Raw genomic sequence first — 17,812 nt, forward strand, 5'->3', positions numbered from 1 at the left:
AGTAAAACCTCGTCTCTACTAAAAATACAAAAAAATTAGCCGGGTGTGGTGGCGGACGCCTGTAGTCCCAGCTACTCAGGAGGCTGAGGCAGGAGAATGGCATGAACCCGGGAGGCGGAGCTTGAAGTGAGCCAAGATTGCGCCACTGCACTCCAGCCTGGGCCACAGAGCAAGACTCCGTCTCAAAAACAAACAAACAAACAAACAAACAAAAAAAAACCAAAAGATTAGCTGGGCCTGGTGGCACGTGCCTGTAATCCCAGCTACTTGGGAGGCTGAGGCAGGAGAATCACTTGAACCTGGGAGGCGGAGGTTGTAGTGAGCCAAGATCATGCCATTGCACTACAGCCTGGACTACAGAGCGAGACTCTGTCTCAAAAAAATAAAAAATAAAAAATAAAAATAAAAATAAAAAAATTAACCCATCATGATCAAGTAGGCTTTTTTGCTGAGATTCAAGGCTGGCTCAACATACACAAATCAATAAATGTAATTTGCCACATCAATAGAAGTAAAAGCAGGCCAGGCGCGGTGGCTCCTGCCTGTAATCCCAGTACTTTGGGAGGCCGAGGCGGGAGGATCACGAGGTCAGGAGATCGAGACCATCCTGGCTAACATGGTGAAACCCTGTCTCTACTAAAAATACAAAAAAAATTAGCCGGGTGTGGTGGTGGGCACCTGTAGTCCCAGCTACTTGGGAGGCTGAGGCAGGAGAATGGCATGAACCTGGGAGGCAGAACTTGCAGTGAGCTGAGATCGCACCACTGCACTCCAGCTTGGGCGACTGAGCAAGACTCTATCTCAAAAATAAATAAAAATAAATAAATAAATAAATAAATAAATAGAAGCAAAAGCAAAAACCACATGATCATCTCAATAGATGCAGAAAATGTTTTCTTTTTTTGAGACAGGGTCTTGCTCTGTTGTCCAAGCTGGAGTGCCATGGTGTAATCTCAGCTCACTGCAACCTCCACCTCCTGGGCTCAAGTCATCCTCCAACCTCAGCCTCCCAGGTAGCTGGTACTACAGGCACGGCCACCATACCCGGCTAAAATTGTTATATTCTTTGTAGAGACGGGGTTTCGCCATGTTGCCCAGGCTGGTCTTGAACTTCTGAGCCCAAGTGATCTGCCAGTCTCAGTCTCCCAAAGTGCTGGGATTACAGGAGTGAGCCATCGCACCCGGCCAAAAAGTAATAAAAAAAGTTCTGAATAAGTAAGTTCTCATGCTCTGTGTGAGTAAGCATTTATCCAAGGCAGCGCTTTGAAAATATGCACATTTCTTACAGCATCTCTCAAAAACATGCGAAGGCCCACATAAAGAAAACCACCTCACTCGTTTTACAAGTATCATAAACCATTCTGTGTACTATAGCTTTGAGTCACACATTGCTTTCTGAAGATCATACTTACTGTTCAACCTGGAAACCTGAAGAAGTCCCCTTCCTTTAGTACTTTTTCTAGTCCTTATTAAAAAGAAACAATTGTCCTATAATCTTTCTAGTCCCTTCTAGAAACAACTCTGAGATGGTTCCTATTTCAAAGTTAAACAAACAAAAAACTTATCAAAATATAATTTAAAAGCCATATTGGAAAAACACAAACAGCCTTCCAGAGACTTACTTTTCCTCTTTGCCCTGAACCTCCACTATATGAATGGCTGCCATTTGAATTCAGATTAAAGACGAAACCGACTGACAAAAAAGCTATTAATTAATGAATGTGCAGAAATGAGTTTTTGTTTTTCTTTCTTTAAAAACTTTTTTCAGCCTGGGCAACATAGCAAGAACCCGTCTCTACAAAAAATAAAAAATATTAGCTGGGTATGGTAATGCGCCTGTAGTTCCAGCTACTCGGGAGGCTGAGGTGGAAGGATTGCTAGAGCCTGGATGGTCAAGGCTGCAGTGAACCGTGATTGCACCACTGCACTCCAGCCTGGGCAACAGAGCAAGACCCTGTCTCAAAAAAAACAAACGAAAAACAAAAAAACCCTGGCCGGGTGCAGTGGCTCACGCTTGCAATCCCAACACTAGGAGGCCGAGGCAGACGGATCACCTGAGCTCAGGAGTTCGAAACCAGCCTGGCCAACATGGTGAAACCCCGTCTCTACTAAAAATACAAAAATTAGCTGGGCATGGTGGCATGCGCCTGTAATCCCAGCTACCTAGGAGGCTGAGGCAGGAGAATCGCTGGAACCCGGGAGGCAGAGGCTGCAGGGAGCCAAGATCGCGCCACTGTACTCCCGCCTGGGTAACAGAGACTCTGTCTCAAAAAAAAAAAAAAAAAAAAAAAGCCCACAACCAGACTTTTTTTTCGTTTTTTCAAATAAAACAATATGCTGTCTCAGCCCGCTCTTTTAGGGATTTTAAAAGGTGTGACCCACCTTGCTAAGATCTTTGGCAGTCACACTATCGTCATCCCGGCAGGGCAAGCGATGGACGAACGCTAACATCTGATACTTGGCTCTGATGAATTCCGCTTTATTGGGACTGGTTCAAAAACAAAAAAGAAAACAGTTCACTCGTTCAGATACAACAATCCCCATTCTTTGTACTGTAAAAAGAAGAGGAAGTGACCCACATCCCCCACTTGAGAATAAAATGAACAATGCTCAAGTAAGTTTCAGCAAGGTTTAAGACCTGCAGTTTGAAAACATACATTAGTTATTATAATGGCTGGGACTCCAGAGTACCTGCTTTTTATAGTAGCCCTCTTCTCTGTGTAATTGTCTGAACTGATTTAGCAACTTTGGGAGAAAGCAGCATTTAGTCCCATCTTATAAGTGAGGCAACAGGCAGACGGGTGCCCAGACCTAGATTTCTGGTCTGATCGCCTCTTATTTGAGTATAAGTTTAAATCTGATTACATTTACAGACTCCAAGCCATGGTTTCCAACTGAGGAAGCCACTTACTCCTGCTGGGTGGCCATGCTAAACAGATGGTCCTGCCCCACCCCATTCTGCATTTCTAATAGCAAAGAACCTGATGCACAACTAGGGTAACCCCCTCCTCTGCTGCCCTTGCGGAGACTGACCAAAAATAGCTGCACTCCTTTCAGTGGGCCCCATTTGTTATGAAGAAATAAAAGTATTTATAAACATTCCACTCACTGTACTTTATCCTGTGGATTAGCTTTACGTCTTCCACTCATAATAGACGCAGGGTCCAGCAAAGAATGCTCCCATATAGAGTTAGCACCGTTATTATACAAGGTCTCAACCATCTAAAACCAAGCAGGATGACATAAGACTTTAATTTCTTTTCACAAATATTCAATGGGGATCAGTGACTGAACAGAGTAAACAAAGTCCTGTTATAAACACTCATTTGTTAGGAATATCATTCATATCATTGTTTTCTGATTTGAGAATGAGAAAGATGATCAATCTATATGCAGGATTCAGCTTTGACTAGTAGGATAGTTAAATACCTAAAGTGTGACTGAACTGTTCTTATTCTGTATGAAAGAAAAAAAAGTACTCTGACACCTTAGAGCAGGGTTTCCCAAACCTAATTAAACACTATTTTCAACATTCTTAATGACCCATGTACTGTCTATATTATTCACTTAATATTTGTCTTTAAAGCCACTTACTTGTAAAAACAACTACAGTTTGATGTGCTAGTTATAGCTTTCCCATACACAGTAAAATAATGTAACCATTAAAAAAAACATGTATTACCTACATCTGTCTTGAATACCACTGGTGGTTCCACATTTGGGGAATTGTTGCTTTAGGGTCAACCCTGGCATTCTAAACAACTCATCTCTGGACTTTACTGAGACTCTGTACTACAATCTGGCTTTGCAAACACAGACAGACCTGAGAGCAGTAAACAGCCCCTTTCACATGAGCGTGAGCGGTTAGAAACTTCTAAGCAAAAGTTAGTAATAAATCATATCTCCAAATTTCATTTCAAGGCATGACTCCTAAAACAGCCCCATCTGTTTTTTACAGCAGTGTAGTTATTTTCACATCAGAGATACAAACCCACTTGTTTTGGCTCCTTGGTTCACACAGCCAAGTTTAAGGGATATGTGCAGCTGTCACAGATTCAGTGAAATGTGTAATCAAGACAAATGAAGGCAAAACACACACTTAACCTTGAGTTCCAAGAGAACTTGAAGAATGTGTACCCCAAGATAGAAGTAAAGGTGACATGACATTGGACTCCAGATAAAACAAAGAACTCATTTAACAGGGTATTCTACATGCAATCAAAACATATTAATTTAATTTGGTCTCTCTGACTAGTAACAAGAGCTTTAAGAAAACTTAAAATGTTTCAGAAGTTTCTGAGGAATCCCAGCCCATGCTGCTATCAAAGCAGAAAAACATGTTCTAAAAATATTAGCAGGTACTCAGGAATAAGTACATTAAAGAAAAGATTCTCAGGCAGTAGCCTTCAGAAACATTCATTATCATGCATAGAAAAGATGGACTACTGGCCGGGCGCGGTGGCTCACGCCTGCAATCCCAGCACTTCGAGAGAGGTTGAGGTGTGGATCACTTGAGTTCAGGAGTTCGAGACCAGCCTGGCCAACATGGTGAAACCCCTTCTCTACTAAAAATACAAAAATTAGCCGGGCATGATGGCGGGTGCCTGTAATCCCAGCTACTTGGGAGGCTGAGGCAGGAGAATTGCTTGAACCCGGGAGGCGGAGGTTACAGTGAGCTGAGATCACGCCACTGCACTCCAGCCTGGATGACAGAGTGAGAGTCCGTCTCAAAAAAAAAAAAAAAACATTTCCGATGACAGTCTAGAAAGTCAACAGAGCAACAGTACCAAGATATTTTAATGACTATTCATCTATCTACCTATAATTGAGCTTGTTGAACAAGATTTATGTCAAGTAGGAAGAAAAGTCTTTACTGAATTCAATACAGATAATATTTGTAAATAGCATTGATGGGCATGCCATCTCTATTCAATTATGAAACAGTTTTGTCTTATGGAAGAAGTACACCAGGAGAAATTTAAGTTATTAACATGATGAGCCCTAAAATGTAAATTACCAACTGTCAGGAGAATTCTTATCCTTTACCTGAAGCAGTGTTGGAGGCCACGGTGTGTGTTTCAGATGCCTCACTTGGGAGATATGGCGCCCTAGACTCCGATGGACACTGCAGCACTCATCACATAAAAACGTTCCCCTATTTACTGATGCCCAGGAAGGATCTGGAAAGAGAGTGAAATCTCAGTGGCAGGGATACCAGCAGGTTGCTATACCGCCAGATGGCAAAAGATGACTGAAGTTTGGTTTGTCAGAAAAAGGAGACATTTTTGTTTCAGTATGCTCATCAATGCATCAGGCTGGTCATCTTGTTGGATGGTATGACCTACCTTGGCTGATTAGGTACAATGTTAATTGAGACTAAAAACACCAGTGGGAGCCTTGGGTAAACAGTTATCTTCTTTCTGGTTCAGGGCCACAGTTTGTAGCCCTAATGTGGATCTACCATTTCAGATGCATGCTTTTTCATTCAAGCTAAGAAAGCAAATTGAGAGGGTACAGACGAATGATTTTGGATCCATCTCCATAAAAATCAAGATAATACTTTTTTTTTTTTTTTTTTTTTTTTGAGATGGAGTCTCACTCTGTCACCCAGGCTGGAGTACAGAGGCACAATCTTGGCTCACTGCAACCTCTATCTCCCAGATTCAAGCAATTCTCCTGCTTCAGCCTCCCGAGTAGCTGGGATTACAGGCATGCACCACCACGCCCGGCTAATTTTTGTATTTTTAGCTGAGACGGGGATTCATCATGTTGGTCAGGTTGGTCTCAAACTCCTGACCTCAGGTGATCCGCCCACCTCGGCCTCCCAAAGTGCTGAGATTACAGGCGTGAGCCACTGTGCCCGGCCAAGATAATATAATTTTGACAGTGAATTATGCAGATAGCATTTTCTGCAGTAAATGTTGTAGACTGCTGTCCTAATTCACTGCTATGAATCAACATGTCAATATGCTTAGCAGAAAGCTGCGAGTTACAGAATCATAAAATCACTCAGCTGCTATGGTTCTGAGGACAGGGAAACCTGGCCTCTTCCATTAGGAAATGTTCTATGATGTCCATGAATTGGTTTGTTTGTCTGTTTGTTTGTTTTGAGACAGAGTCTCACTCTGTCCCCTAGGATGGAGTGCAGTGGCGCAATCTCGGCTCACTGCAACTTCTGCCTCCAGGGTTCAAGCGATTCTCCTGCCTCAGCCTCCCGAGTAGCTGGAATTACATGTGTGTGCCACCAGCTCGGCTAATTTTTGTTATTTTTAGTACAGACGAGGTTTCACCATGTTGGCCAGACTGGTCTCAAACTCCTGACCTCAGGTGATCCACTCACCTCGACCTCCTAAAGTGCTGGGATTACAGGCTTGAGCCACTGTGCCCAGCCAATTAATTGTTTTACATAAACTACCAAGTCCAATCCTGCAACTGATCTGAAAAAAAAAAAAGAAGTTGCAATAACAGCAGCTTCACAGAGGCAAAGATGTAAAATAAAAATGAATAATATTTTTAGTGTGTGTATAATACTTTTTTCCCTTTAAAGTCATAGAGCTTCATTAGCTGTCCTTTGAAACAAGGAATAATTTCATACTTGGCAAGCAGGATGGATCTGGGTAAGTAAACTGAATACCTAGAAACCTCAAATAAAGAAAGAGCTATACTTCGTCAGACTCACAATGGGGTGACAATAGGTGCCACTTAAGCTGCCTGGTCAAAGGGTTACATTTAAAAATTCTTCAATGTCCACAAAAATCTCTAAAATGCATGTACACCATCTTTACCATTTTTTAAGAGTTTATTCAAACCCTTTCAAACCATATAATGAAAAGTTATGGGCTTTCAATCAAAGACGAATCCTGGGAGCCAGTGAGTATGGTGGTTAAGAGGGTTGGCTCTAGAGACAAGGAGTTCAGGGTTTGAACCCCAACTCTGCCACTTCTTGCACAATGATCTCAGACAAGTTACTTGAGTGTTTTCACCATGGTTCAAATGAGAACAATGACAAATCTCGGGATAGTAAGGATATAGAGAATAAGTGAAGTACCTCACACATAGTAAAGTAGTAATGTTAGTTGTTATATCTTTTCTAAATTATTTTCTCAGTATTCAGATATTTTCTAGACGTGAAATTCATGATCACTGGACAAAGTTTTTGATGGGAAATACTTAAAACATTGAACATTTCATGTGACCACTCTACTACTGTACTGAAAATCTCCATGGAGTTTTCAAGTAATTGAACTCAGAGTGTGATGTATTTGAAATGAACCAGATTCATTAAAAAAAAAAAAGTAGAATATTTAAGAAGATGTGATCATGGTTAAATGTTTGCATAAAATAAAACAGAATCAAAATAATTCAATTTAGTATAACTCTGTCGCTATTACTGTATCATCCTAAAAAGCAGAGATTGGAAATGTCCAGATGAAGGAGCTCTACAAAGATGCATTAACAACACTGCTTCCTGCAGTATAGTACTGACACTAATGGCAAAAAAAAAAAAAAAAAAAAAAGACTGTTTTGAAGCATAGCTTTGGTTTTCACTTATTCAGAGGATTTGCAGTATTCTTTTTTTAGCAAGTATTTAACACATATTAATTAAGACAAGTATTCGACTAACCACTTTAGCATCCTGGATCAGAATCCCATGGAAAGAATATTAGAATGTTAACATAGTAAAATAAAAATGTTTGTATGAATGAGATTGGGTAAAACCCTTTAAGTTCATCTGGAGCCAGGGCTCCAGGGACACCACAAATGAACTTCAAAAATGTTTGTGACTCCCCCAGACAAATCTTAGGTAAATTCGTTCACGTGCATTTTAGGGGAGAAGGCCTTAGCATTCAACAGAATCTCAAAGGGGTCCCTAACCCTACAGGTAATTCTCTCAGTAGGGCTGTGCAGAAAAGGCAGCACAAATTCCCAGCTGCTCAATTTCACAGAATATTTCAAGGTAGCCTAATTATATTCAAAACAGGAAGGAAGTGACTCAAGTCTCTGCAGATTAGGCGTATGAGACAACAACTAAAGCGATACAATGGAAGAGAAAATGTTCTGAAATGCACAAAATGCTGCAAAAGTATATTTAGGATGGCAATGGAGGAACAATTTTGCTTTGCCCTGTACCCTATCAAGAAGCAAAACAATATGCATTCCAAGAGGAAGTTAGAAGCTAGACACATGTGAATCAAATACATCACGGTAAGTTCAACTGAAAATAGGCAAGAAAATAAGGAAGTGGAACAAATAACATTTTTAGAGAAAATGATGGAGTTTGTATAACTCACACTAACTTGGTTTAGAAAACACTTCTTTTTAAACTCCTCCATACCCCCTCCCTATCTTCAAAGGAAACTGGTAACACCTGCACTGTACGGGCCATAAAACAACCACATGAGGTTTGAGTTATCACAGTTCTATTTACAATTGGTCTCCACTTCCAAATGACAAGCTTAAGATCAGAACAGTTGCAAAGCCAGTGGTGTTCAATGATTTAATTAAGATTGTTTATCGGACACTATTGTGCCAAGAAAGCCATGTTACCTTCGAATTAACTCAAAGCCAATACATCCAAGCACCTAAAACAGCATGTAATAATCTATCCAGAGACCTGACAATTCAGTTGCAATTGCTAAGACACACTTGATCTCTAAATGTGAATATTATGTATGAACAGTTATGCATCATTATGAAGGAATGGCTTTAGCGTTTCAATGCCCCTATATTGCTGGTGATTTTGCGTTTGTTTCCGTTGTAATCAACGTATGATTTAGATAGTCAAATATAGCTTTAAGGGACTACAAGAGTTCTACTGTAGACAGCATAATGCAAAAAAGAAAAGCCTTAGATGATATGATTCTACGAGTATTCATTGAATCTTCCTCACCACTAAGCGTGATACTCCCGATTATCCTCATTGAAAAAAATGAGGAAATCAAGCAAGTGACCAAGTGAAGTCACCAGCCCAAGGTCAGCCAGAAGCAAAATCTAGTTTGAACCCAGGCCGTTCAGATCCTCAAACTTGAGACAAGCACTGCCTCCTAAGTGCTGGTTGTGTTTGGAAGACCCCGATCTCCTGGCAATTCTCCCGGGCAGAGTAGCTGTCGGATGTCAGCAGCGGGGAAGTCATCTACGGGGACCCTCTGGCGAGTCTCAGGGAGTGTCATCCTCCCCGGGCAGGACACCCAGGCGGAGAAAGGGTCTAGTGGGAGGTGACACCTGCAGCCTCTGGAGGCTGCAGCCGGGAGGACGCTCACATTTTACTTCTGTAATTGGCTTTCCTGTGGATTGCCCAAGCCCCTTCCTGTTGGGGGAGCAGCCCTGGCCCCCGTCACCTCCCCAGTTGGCCTAGGACGGAGGGAACGGGAGGGAACGAGAGGGAAGGGAGGGCCGCGAGGGACGGGGAGGGCGGCGGCCCCCTGCCCGCCCGGCTCTGACAGGCCCGGGACGGTTCCCACCCCAAGGCCGCCCAGGGACCTCTTCGTTGCGACCCTAGCCGCGGGATGCAGCCTGACCTGAGGGGGCGGCCCCGGGGTAGGGGTCCGGGCCAGGAAAGCAGAGGGGAGCGGGCCCGGCCGGTGCGACTCACCCGGCCCGCTGCAGTCAGCGCACACCTCGCTGCTCCGGAGCCGTTTCGACATGGCTCCCACCTCCCACCTGCGGGGAACTAGAGGCCGGGGGACAGCAAAGGCGGCGGTGGCGGCGGCGCTTCCGCTCTAACGGGTCCCAGCTGCGGCGGCGCTGACGGCGGCGCCTCTCCCCTCAGCGCCTTGCAGCCTTGGCACAGCACGCACGCGCGGGGAGGTGCCCTTCGGCGAGTGTCAGGTCATGTGACCGGAAAGGGCACTCTGCCTTGTCGCCATCTTGAGTGAGGGCAGGAGACTGCCCGAGTATCATCTGTCCTACCTTTAAATATTGAATTTGGGTCTTCTTCTCTGGCAGAGATTCCCCTCGTCCCAACTGATTAATACCAGGGGAAGTAGCAATATCTTGTGATGAGAACCCTGCAGCCACAACCTTCCTGAGGCAATCAATGGTCAAGTTCATTCATTCATTCCTTGATTCAACAAATGTTTATCAAGCACTTACCATGCTTTATATACTGTCCCAGCCACTGGAGAAACAGCAGTGAGCAAAGACTGAATTTCTAGTCCTTATGAAGCTTGCATTTTACTGGGGTAAAGTAAAATAAGAATATATTATATGATTCCAGGCTGGGCGTGGTGGCTCACTCTTGTAATCTCAACTCTTTGGAAGGCTGAGGCAGGAGGATCACTTGAGGCAGGAGTTCGAGACCAGCCTGGGCAACATGGTGAAACCCCATCTCTACTAAAAATACAAAAATTGGCCGGGCGCGGTGGCTCACGCCTGTAATCCCAGCACTTTGGGAGGCCGAGGCGGGTGGATCACGAGGTCAGGAGTTCAAGACCAGCCTGGCCAACATGGTGAAACCCCGTCTCTACTAAAAATACAAAAATTAGCCGGGCACAGTGGCAGGAGCCTGTAATCTCAGTTACTTGGGAGGCTGAGGCAGGAGCTTGAACCCAGGGGGTGGAGGTTGCAGTGAGCTGAGATCACGCCATTGCACTCCAGCATGGGCGACAGAGTGAGACTCCGTCTCAAAAAAAAAAAAAAAAAAAAAAAAATTAGCCGGGCGTGGTGGCGCATGCCTGTAATCCTAGATACTCAGGAGGCTGAGGCATGAGAATCGCTTGAGCCTGGGAGGTGGACGTTGCAGTGAGCAGAGATCGCGTCACTGCACTCCAGCCTGGGGGACAGAGCGAGACTGTCTCAAAAACAACTTCAACAACAACAACAAAAATAACAAAAAAGAATATATTAGATGATTCCTTAGGCTTCAGTTTTAATCTCATGTTCAAAATTAAGATAATGCATTGTTTACTTCTAGTCCACGATTTGTTTTTGTATGGCTTGCTACTTAAGAATGATTTTTACATTTTTAAAGGGTTGCGAGATGAAAATGAAGAAGAGAGAGAGGGAAATAAAGAAAAAGAGGAAGAAGAATATGCGACAAAACTTGTATGTGACCAGCAAAGTTAAACATTCATTTTGGCTAAGGACAGATGGAATAAATTATGGGAAAAATGTGATACACCTGCTGGATAGTAACCCCTCAGTAAATAGTAGCTCCCATAATTATGGATATTGCTATTATTTTCTAATTACTGTTTTTCTTCATATGCGTGGAATTTGAGAATAACAATAGCTAACATGGGATAATTTACAAAATGGTGTGAGATAAACACAATGAAATGAGGTAAATCAGTGTGAAGGAGAAAGGAGATGTGACCCTAATACCAATGACTACTTATTGTCTGTCTTACATATAAACACAGCTATGATCTCCATTCAGCAAATATTGAATGCCTGTTGTTAGCCAGGTACTATTTTGGTTTTAGATACTCTGGTAAGCAAAACGATGTGGTTCCTGTCATTATGGGGTTTTCTGATTAATGAGATAGGGAGATTTTCAATAAACACGGCATGATGAAGAAGAAGGAGAACGTTAAGTTGCAAAAGGCATCTGAAAGAATGAGAAGTGCTGGAAAAGGCCTCAGAAGCACTGGTCTTGAGTCCATCTCTACAGTGTGATAAATGTGTGATGGAGAAATAATCACAGAATTCCCACGCATTCCATGGTTAGAGTCTCCGGGTGCCATCCTGGTGCTCCTGCATCCTGTTTTGGTTTAACAACTCACAAATCTTCTGGGCTCCACATCTGTGGAGAATGGATTAGGTTGGGATTCTTGAACAGCTGTTGTTGCAGGCATCTGAAGAGCTGGATGTGCATACACTCAGAGGGCAGAGGGAATGTTTTCACAATGCATTAAATAGCTTCATCCAGCTATGTGGTCTAGTTGTAGACAGCTGAGCTGAAGCAGCAGCAGAAAGTTCAAGCCCATGAGTAGCTAGCTGTAAGTTGATTTGGTTCTTCATTGAGTCAAGGAGGCATAGTGCCTGAAACTCAAAGAATAAACTTCATATTCGCAGACTGTGGTCAAATATGTATATTATTTATCAGTCCTTTCAGCCATAACCTCAAATCCAAAAAGCTAGCTTAAAAATGACATTCATACATGGACTAAATCACCACCATAGTTAGCTATTGAATCATAACCCGGTTCGGAGTTCAAATAGAAGCGGTTCTCAACTGAGGACGATTTTTCTCCCCGAGACGACATTTGGCAATATCTGGAGAGACATGTTTTGGGGAGTGCTACTGGCATTGAGTGGGGAGAAAGACCAGGGCAACTGCTCAGCATCCTACAAGGACCGGACAACCCCCACACAAAAACTGCCCAGTTCAATATGTGCCGAGGTTGAGAAATCATGAAGTAGAAATATCCCCTTTTATGCAAATACTGTATTTGAAGCCACTTCGCCAGGGTTTAGCGTTCCTCCTTCAAAAATTGTCCGGTGTTGCCCACTTCCAAAATGGCTTTTGACCCGTCGTGGAAGCATCTGTCCTGCTCCAAAAAGGCTGCAAGGGTGTCGGCAGCTGGAATGGTTTGGTCCGGGGCTCAGTTGTCACCCCCTGACTTCAGAGCCAATGGAAGAGGCCCAGTTGTGGACCGAACCACATGGGGCTACTGGAGCAGGGGGAAAGAAGCTGGGGACAGGTAGACGGAACTTTCCGCGTGGAGATCTTTGGCCAAGAGAATGAGCCTCAGCTCTGTTCTGTGGGCTGCACTGAGTTTCTCGGTGTGAGCTGGAGGTGGGTGCAATGGCGCGGACCCCGGACCCGGTGCCCAAGGTCGCCTATCCCCGCCGCGGCATGCGGTGGTTCGCTCTCCGCACTTCCCTGTTTGGGGCAGTTAGGTCCGCAGAAGTCTGTCCGCGAGCTGTCAGCGCGGGCGGGAACGCCGCGGGGCGCGGGGTGGGCGCGGCCGACCTGGTCCCTGAGCCGGCCGGCGACCCCGGACCTCCCGCGCGCCCCGCACCCGACCGGCTCAGCCGGCCGGCAGCGTAACACGCCCTACGCTCGCTTGCTCGCCGGCCTCAGGGCAGGCAGGCGGGCGCGGGAGACCCCGCCGGGGCCGAGACTTGGGGCGGGCGACGAGGACCAGGTTACGGCCTCCTCGCCATGTCCTCGGCCTGCGACGCGGGCGACCACTACCCCCTGCACCTCCTAGTCTGGAAAAACGACTACCGGCAGCTCGAGAAGGAGCTGCAGGGCCAGGTGAGGGGCGGGGCGGGGGTCCGTCTCCCGGTGGGGACTTCGGGGAATCGGGGGTCGTTTCGCCTCCCTGAGCCCATTTCCAGCCCTCTGTCCCCGGGATCCCCAGACCCCTTCCACTTTGCAGGTGTGGGACAGTCCTAATAATAGGACACGTATCGAGTGCTTACCGTGCGACGGGCTTTTTAAATATCTTCTCTCTTCACCTTTCCAATAACGCTGGTGGGTAGGTACTGTTACTTTTCCACTGGACAGAGAAGGAAACAGGTCCTCAGACGCTACGTGCCTTGTGCGAGGCCGCCCCGCTGATAAATGCCAAGTCGGGATTTTAACTCGGGCCGGCTGGCTCCGGAATGCACCGTCTTAACCATTTTTAGGTTCTGCTGCCTCAAAGACGTAAGAATAGCACACTCTCCTTGTTGTAAGGAAGGGCTTGGTTGGTTTTGGAGTCCAGGTTCTAACTCGCCCTGTGACCTTGGGCAAGGCATTTTCCCTCTCTGGCCGACGTTAACTTAGCTGTAGAATGAGGATGTTGGTGCTGGGGCAGAACCCAACACTTGACTCTATTGATAGGTCTGGGGTGAGGTCCAGGTGCCGCATTTTTAACAAACTCCCCAGGGAGGCTGATACCTAGCAAAGTTTGAGAATCACGGGTTCTCAGGCTCCTTAAAATCCCTTCCTGTTCTAAAGTGCTTTGATGCTTTAATCTTTTCATTATTGCTATCTCTTTAAAGCAGTAGTGCTCTCAGTTGGAGGTGATTTTGCACCCACGACCCCCCGGGGACATTTGGCAATGTATGGGACATTTTTGGTTGTTGAAAGTGGGGAGTGGGTGCTTCTGGTAGTGGGTAGAGGCCGGTTATGCTGCTCAACATCCTACAATGGCCAAGACAGCCCCCCGCAACTAAGACTTCTCCGGCCCCCAAAGCCGACAGCGTCTTGGTTGAGAAACTCTGCTTTTCTTTCTTTCCTTCTTTTTTTTTTTTTTTTTTTGAGACTGAGTTTCGCTCTTGTTGCCCGGGCTGGAGTGCAATGGTGCGATCTCGGCTCACTGCAACCTCCGCCTCCTGGGTTCAAGCGATTCTTCTGCCTCAGCCCCCCAAGTAACTGAGATTACAGGGATGCACCACCACGCCCGGCTAATTTTGTATTTTTAGTAGAGATGGGGTTTCTCCATGTTGGTCAGGCTGGTCTCAAACTCCCGACCTCAGGTGATCCGCCCGCCTCAGCCTCCCAAAGTGCTGGGATTACAGGTGTGAGCCACCACGCCTGGCTGAGAAACTCTGCTTTTAAAGTCTCCCAACAATTCTGGGAGGTATTGGTGCCCTCAAGTTTCAAGCTAACAAACTTAGCAGTTAGGATGAGGATTTGTGATTACCCCTGAAATCTAGTATGGTTGTTCTTGTTGACTTCATACATTTTATCCAGTGTCTTACAGACCTGGTTTTTGAATGGCTCAAAATTGGTGCTATAATTGTCAAGAAATTGTAGAGGAAGAGGAGGATTGTTTGTCTTATGGTTGACAAAAATTGAGAAGGTTAGCATTACTCCATTTGGTGAATGGGTGCTGCAAGCTGTGTGCTTGCAACCTGCCATATTTAAGGTGGTTGAGCCCTCACCGAAGTCCAAAATTACCCTCTTTTCTTTTCTGTTTCTTTTTTTTTTTTTTTCTTTTTGAGATGGAGTCTCGCTCTGTCATTCAGACTTGAGTGCAGTGGCGCGATCTCAGGTCACTGCAACCTTCGCCTCCCGGGTTCCAGCGATTCTCCTGCCTCAGCCTCCTCAGTAGCTGGGATTACAGGCTAATTTTTGTATTTTTAGTGGAGGTGGTATTTTGTCATGTTGGCCATGCTGGTTTCAACCCCTGGCCTCAAGCAATCCGCCCACCTCTACCTCCCAAAGTGCTGGGATTACAGGCATGAGCCACTGTTGCCGGCCTTTTTTCATTTAAAAAGAATTCCAGATACGATAAACTTTTGTGAGAGTCATCGTTCTTAATTAGATGACAGACCAACTATTTAAGAGTTAAGGAGATATGACACATGCCCTCAGACTAAATGATTCACCATTAGGCATTTTAGTATACTGATCATTTAATTCCTTTTCTATTACTAGACATGGTACAGAGGTAAAAACTGTAAGACTCAGCTAGGACACTTTAAAAATGACCAGTTTTGGTTTTTAGGAATCTACTTCTTTTGGTGCCCAGGCTGGTCTTGAACTCTTGTACTCAAGTGATCTGCCCGCCTCAGCCTCCCAAAGTGCTGGGATTACAGGCATGAGCCACTGTGCCTTGCCCAAATCCTGTATTCTTAACCCCTACTATACTTCTTTCAGTAAAAATGACTTCATTTCAAGATTATGGAGAATAAATAAGGAAGATAATGGACCTGAAAGTGCAGGCATATGGTAATTGGAAACAATATTTACTAGTAGCTGCTGCTATTATAATCATCATTTGTAAACCTGGGGATTGAGCTTTTTTGCTCTATATTCCAGTTTTTCTGCAAGGAAGATGTATTGATTGCATAATTAAAAACAAAAAATTCTTAAGTCCGGGCACGGTGGCTCATGCCTGGAATCTCAGCACTTTGGGAGGCTGAGGCAGGCAGATCGCCTGAGGTCAGGAGTTGGAGACCAGCCTGACCAACACGGTGAAACCCCGTCTCTACTAAAAATACAAAAATAGCTGGATGTGGTGGCACGTGCTTGTAATCCCAGCTACTCAGGAGGTTGAGGCAGGAGAATCGCTTGAATCCAGGAGGCTGAGGTTGCAGTGAGCCAAGATCGTGCCACTGCACTCCAGGCTGGGAGACAGAGCGAGGCTCCGACTCAAAAAACAAAAAAAACCCAAAAAATTCTTATCACCCCAGCAATAAAGTGGCTGTTTCCCTTAATGTTTTGTTTGCTGGTGAGTTTCTGCTGTCAGTTTCCTCATTCCGTCTATCACCTGATTGAGACTTGGAGCATGTATACTGATAGCTGTAAGAATTTTTTTCCAGGTTTTTTGTTCCTGTTCCAGGAACAGCAACACAAGAAAGAATCAAGTTTATCCAGATGAAGAGGATAAGCACGTGTTTCTGTGTGTGTGAGCCAGCCCCAATCCCACTGTCTCACTAATAGCAGGCAGTTGTGTAACTATGCCAACTACCAGATTGTTTCAGGCCTTCATTTGATCAGCAGAGGCATTTAATAAAGTGCCTCTTAACCCATCAGCTCATTAATATTCAGTGGGGCCTTGAAGTTGGTTGCTGAAGTTGAAACTGTTTGTGTTCTGCTTATGTCGTTGGCCGCTTAGCTAAAGAAGTCTGTTAAACTTCTTTGGCCTTCTTACTGATGGTGAGACATGAACACTTAAGGGGACAGATGCAAAGGTGAGTCAGTGTACCTTAGACAGGGTTGGAAAACCTGGGTTGTGTGAGGTGGAGGGTGGCAAATGAGGCCTGACTCTAGAGCCAGGCTCCCTGTTTAGGAAGCCAGCAGGTGAAAAGTATAGCACCTAGGTAAGAGGAGGACATTCCTGGGGTTCTCACTCCAGCCTGGGGCAGGCCAGGTGAGGCCCCGGGCACAGATTCAAATCGCTGAGCCATGGGCTAGGCATCCAAGATGAAGAGCCTAGAGCCTGCTCTCCTCATGTGCCCCCTTGGTCATCGGGGGTTCAAGCTCACCTTAGGAAACTGGCCTCAAGATTCCTGTTTCCACTGACTCAGCGTGGGGGCCACACAGGACCAGGATGGTCTGAGAGTGAAGAGGAGTGAGGGTGGTTGTCTGTGTTGAGAGAGAGGAGGACTAGCCAGCAGCCTCTTGCTGGAGTCCCCCTAAAGGTGACAGTGAGTTTATGAAGCACTTCCTGCATGCCAGGTACCAAGGCACAGGGGAACTGATAATTCACCTGAGGCTAGTGGGCAAGCTGGAAGGGGTGTCCAGTTGTCTGGTTCTGCAGCCTGGCCTCAGAGCTCGGCAGGAGGATGGCAAGATAGTAAAGAGGGCTTTTGATTGAGGAGGCTGAGGTGGGGTCAGTGCTTGAGGACAGGAGTTCAAGACCAGCCTGGCCAATATAGTAAGACTCCGTCTCCTTAAAAAAAAATTTTTTTTGGCTGGGCACGGTGGCTCACGCCTGTACTCCCAGCTCTTTGGGAGGCCAAGGCAGGTGGATCATGAGGTCAGGAGTTCAAGACTAGCCTGGCCAACATAGTGAAACCCCATCTTTGCTAAAAATATGAAAAATTAGCTGGGCATGGTGGCGGGTGCTTGTAATCCCAGCTACTTGGGAGGCTGAGGTGGGAGAATCGCTTGAACCTGGGAGGCGGAGGTTGCAGTGAGCCAAAATCGCACCATTGCACTCTAGGCCCGGCAACAGTATGAGACTCCATCTCAAAAAAAAAATAAATTTTTTTTAAGGCTTTTGAGCAAGAAAAGTGGATGAGCTGAAATGAGCAAATAGGAAGGAAACTCCTAGTTAAAGGAGGATGGGTATTTTTATTTGGGTATAGCTCATGGCTAAAGAAACTTAAAAGGAAAACCTAAATGATCAGTTTCGAAAGTGAATTCCAGCCGGGCGTGGTGGCTCAGGCCTGTAATCCCAGCACTTTGGGAGGCCGAGGTGGGCGG

At 45.3% G+C, this 17,812-nt stretch overlaps 2 protein-coding genes across 34 annotated transcripts in view, besides 6 other annotated features; one reads left to right on the forward strand and one right to left on the reverse strand.

The window, feature by feature from the left end:
- GIT2 (GIT ArfGAP 2) overlaps positions 1-13,584 on the reverse strand; it is a 70,361-nt gene extending 56,777 nt beyond the window's left edge. For 21 of the 23 annotated variants that reach the window (XM_047429925.1, NM_001330153.2, XM_017020258.3 and 18 more), the window contains exons 1-4: positions 9,593-9,788; positions 5,047-5,180; positions 3,110-3,222; positions 2,383-2,488 (exon numbers count right to left, since the gene is read on the reverse strand). In XM_047429925.1, coding sequence (XP_047285881.1) covers positions 2,383-2,488; positions 3,110-3,222; positions 5,047-5,180; positions 9,593-9,644 — 405 coding nt within the window. In that variant the 5' untranslated portion in view covers positions 9,645-9,788. Of the gene's footprint in view, positions 1-2,382; positions 2,489-3,109; positions 3,223-5,046; positions 5,181-9,592; positions 9,789-13,371 lie in introns of those variants that run through there. The other 2 variants (XM_047429924.1, XM_047429926.1) reach the window with 2 other exon arrangements.
- Positions 9,059-9,108: an enhancer, noted in NCBI's record as "active region_6987". NCBI's record gives its function as "activates an Ori minimal core promoter by ATAC-STARR-seq in GM12878 lymphoblastoid cells {active_cell/tissue: GM12878}" and the evidence as "EXISTENCE:reporter gene assay evidence [ECO:0000049][PMID:35858748]".
- Positions 9,439-9,528: a silencer, noted in NCBI's record as "silent region_4849". NCBI's record gives its function as "represses an Ori minimal core promoter by ATAC-STARR-seq in GM12878 lymphoblastoid cells {active_cell/tissue: GM12878}" and the evidence as "EXISTENCE:reporter gene assay evidence [ECO:0000049][PMID:35858748]".
- Positions 9,799-9,958: an enhancer, noted in NCBI's record as "active region_6988". NCBI's record gives its function as "activates an Ori minimal core promoter by ATAC-STARR-seq in GM12878 lymphoblastoid cells {active_cell/tissue: GM12878}" and the evidence as "EXISTENCE:reporter gene assay evidence [ECO:0000049][PMID:35858748]".
- Positions 12,574-12,763: an enhancer, noted in NCBI's record as "active region_6989". NCBI's record gives its function as "activates an Ori minimal core promoter by ATAC-STARR-seq in GM12878 lymphoblastoid cells {active_cell/tissue: GM12878}" and the evidence as "EXISTENCE:reporter gene assay evidence [ECO:0000049][PMID:35858748]".
- ANKRD13A (ankyrin repeat domain 13A) overlaps positions 12,633-17,812 on the forward strand; it is a 40,551-nt gene continuing 35,371 nt past the window's right edge. For 10 of the 11 annotated variants that reach the window (XR_944812.4, XR_007063142.1, XR_007063141.1 and 7 more), the window contains exon 1: positions 12,850-13,204. Coding sequence is in view for 7 of the 11 variants with exons in the window: in XM_005253980.4 (XP_005254037.1) it covers positions 13,109-13,204 (96 nt within the window). In the remaining 4 variants the exon portion in view is untranslated. Of the gene's footprint in view, positions 12,740-12,849; positions 13,205-17,812 lie in introns of those variants that run through there. The other variant, XM_005253984.2, reaches the window with a different exon arrangement.
- Positions 12,844-12,963: a silencer, noted in NCBI's record as "silent region_4850". NCBI's record gives its function as "represses an Ori minimal core promoter by ATAC-STARR-seq in GM12878 lymphoblastoid cells {active_cell/tissue: GM12878}" and the evidence as "EXISTENCE:reporter gene assay evidence [ECO:0000049][PMID:35858748]".
- Positions 12,974-13,063: a silencer, noted in NCBI's record as "silent region_4851". NCBI's record gives its function as "represses an Ori minimal core promoter by ATAC-STARR-seq in GM12878 lymphoblastoid cells {active_cell/tissue: GM12878}" and the evidence as "EXISTENCE:reporter gene assay evidence [ECO:0000049][PMID:35858748]".

The sequence above is a fragment of the Homo sapiens genome, chromosome 12, assembly GCF_000001405.40.
Source record: "Homo sapiens chromosome 12, GRCh38.p14 Primary Assembly".
NCBI lineage: Eukaryota > Metazoa > Chordata > Mammalia > Primates > Hominidae > Homo > Homo sapiens.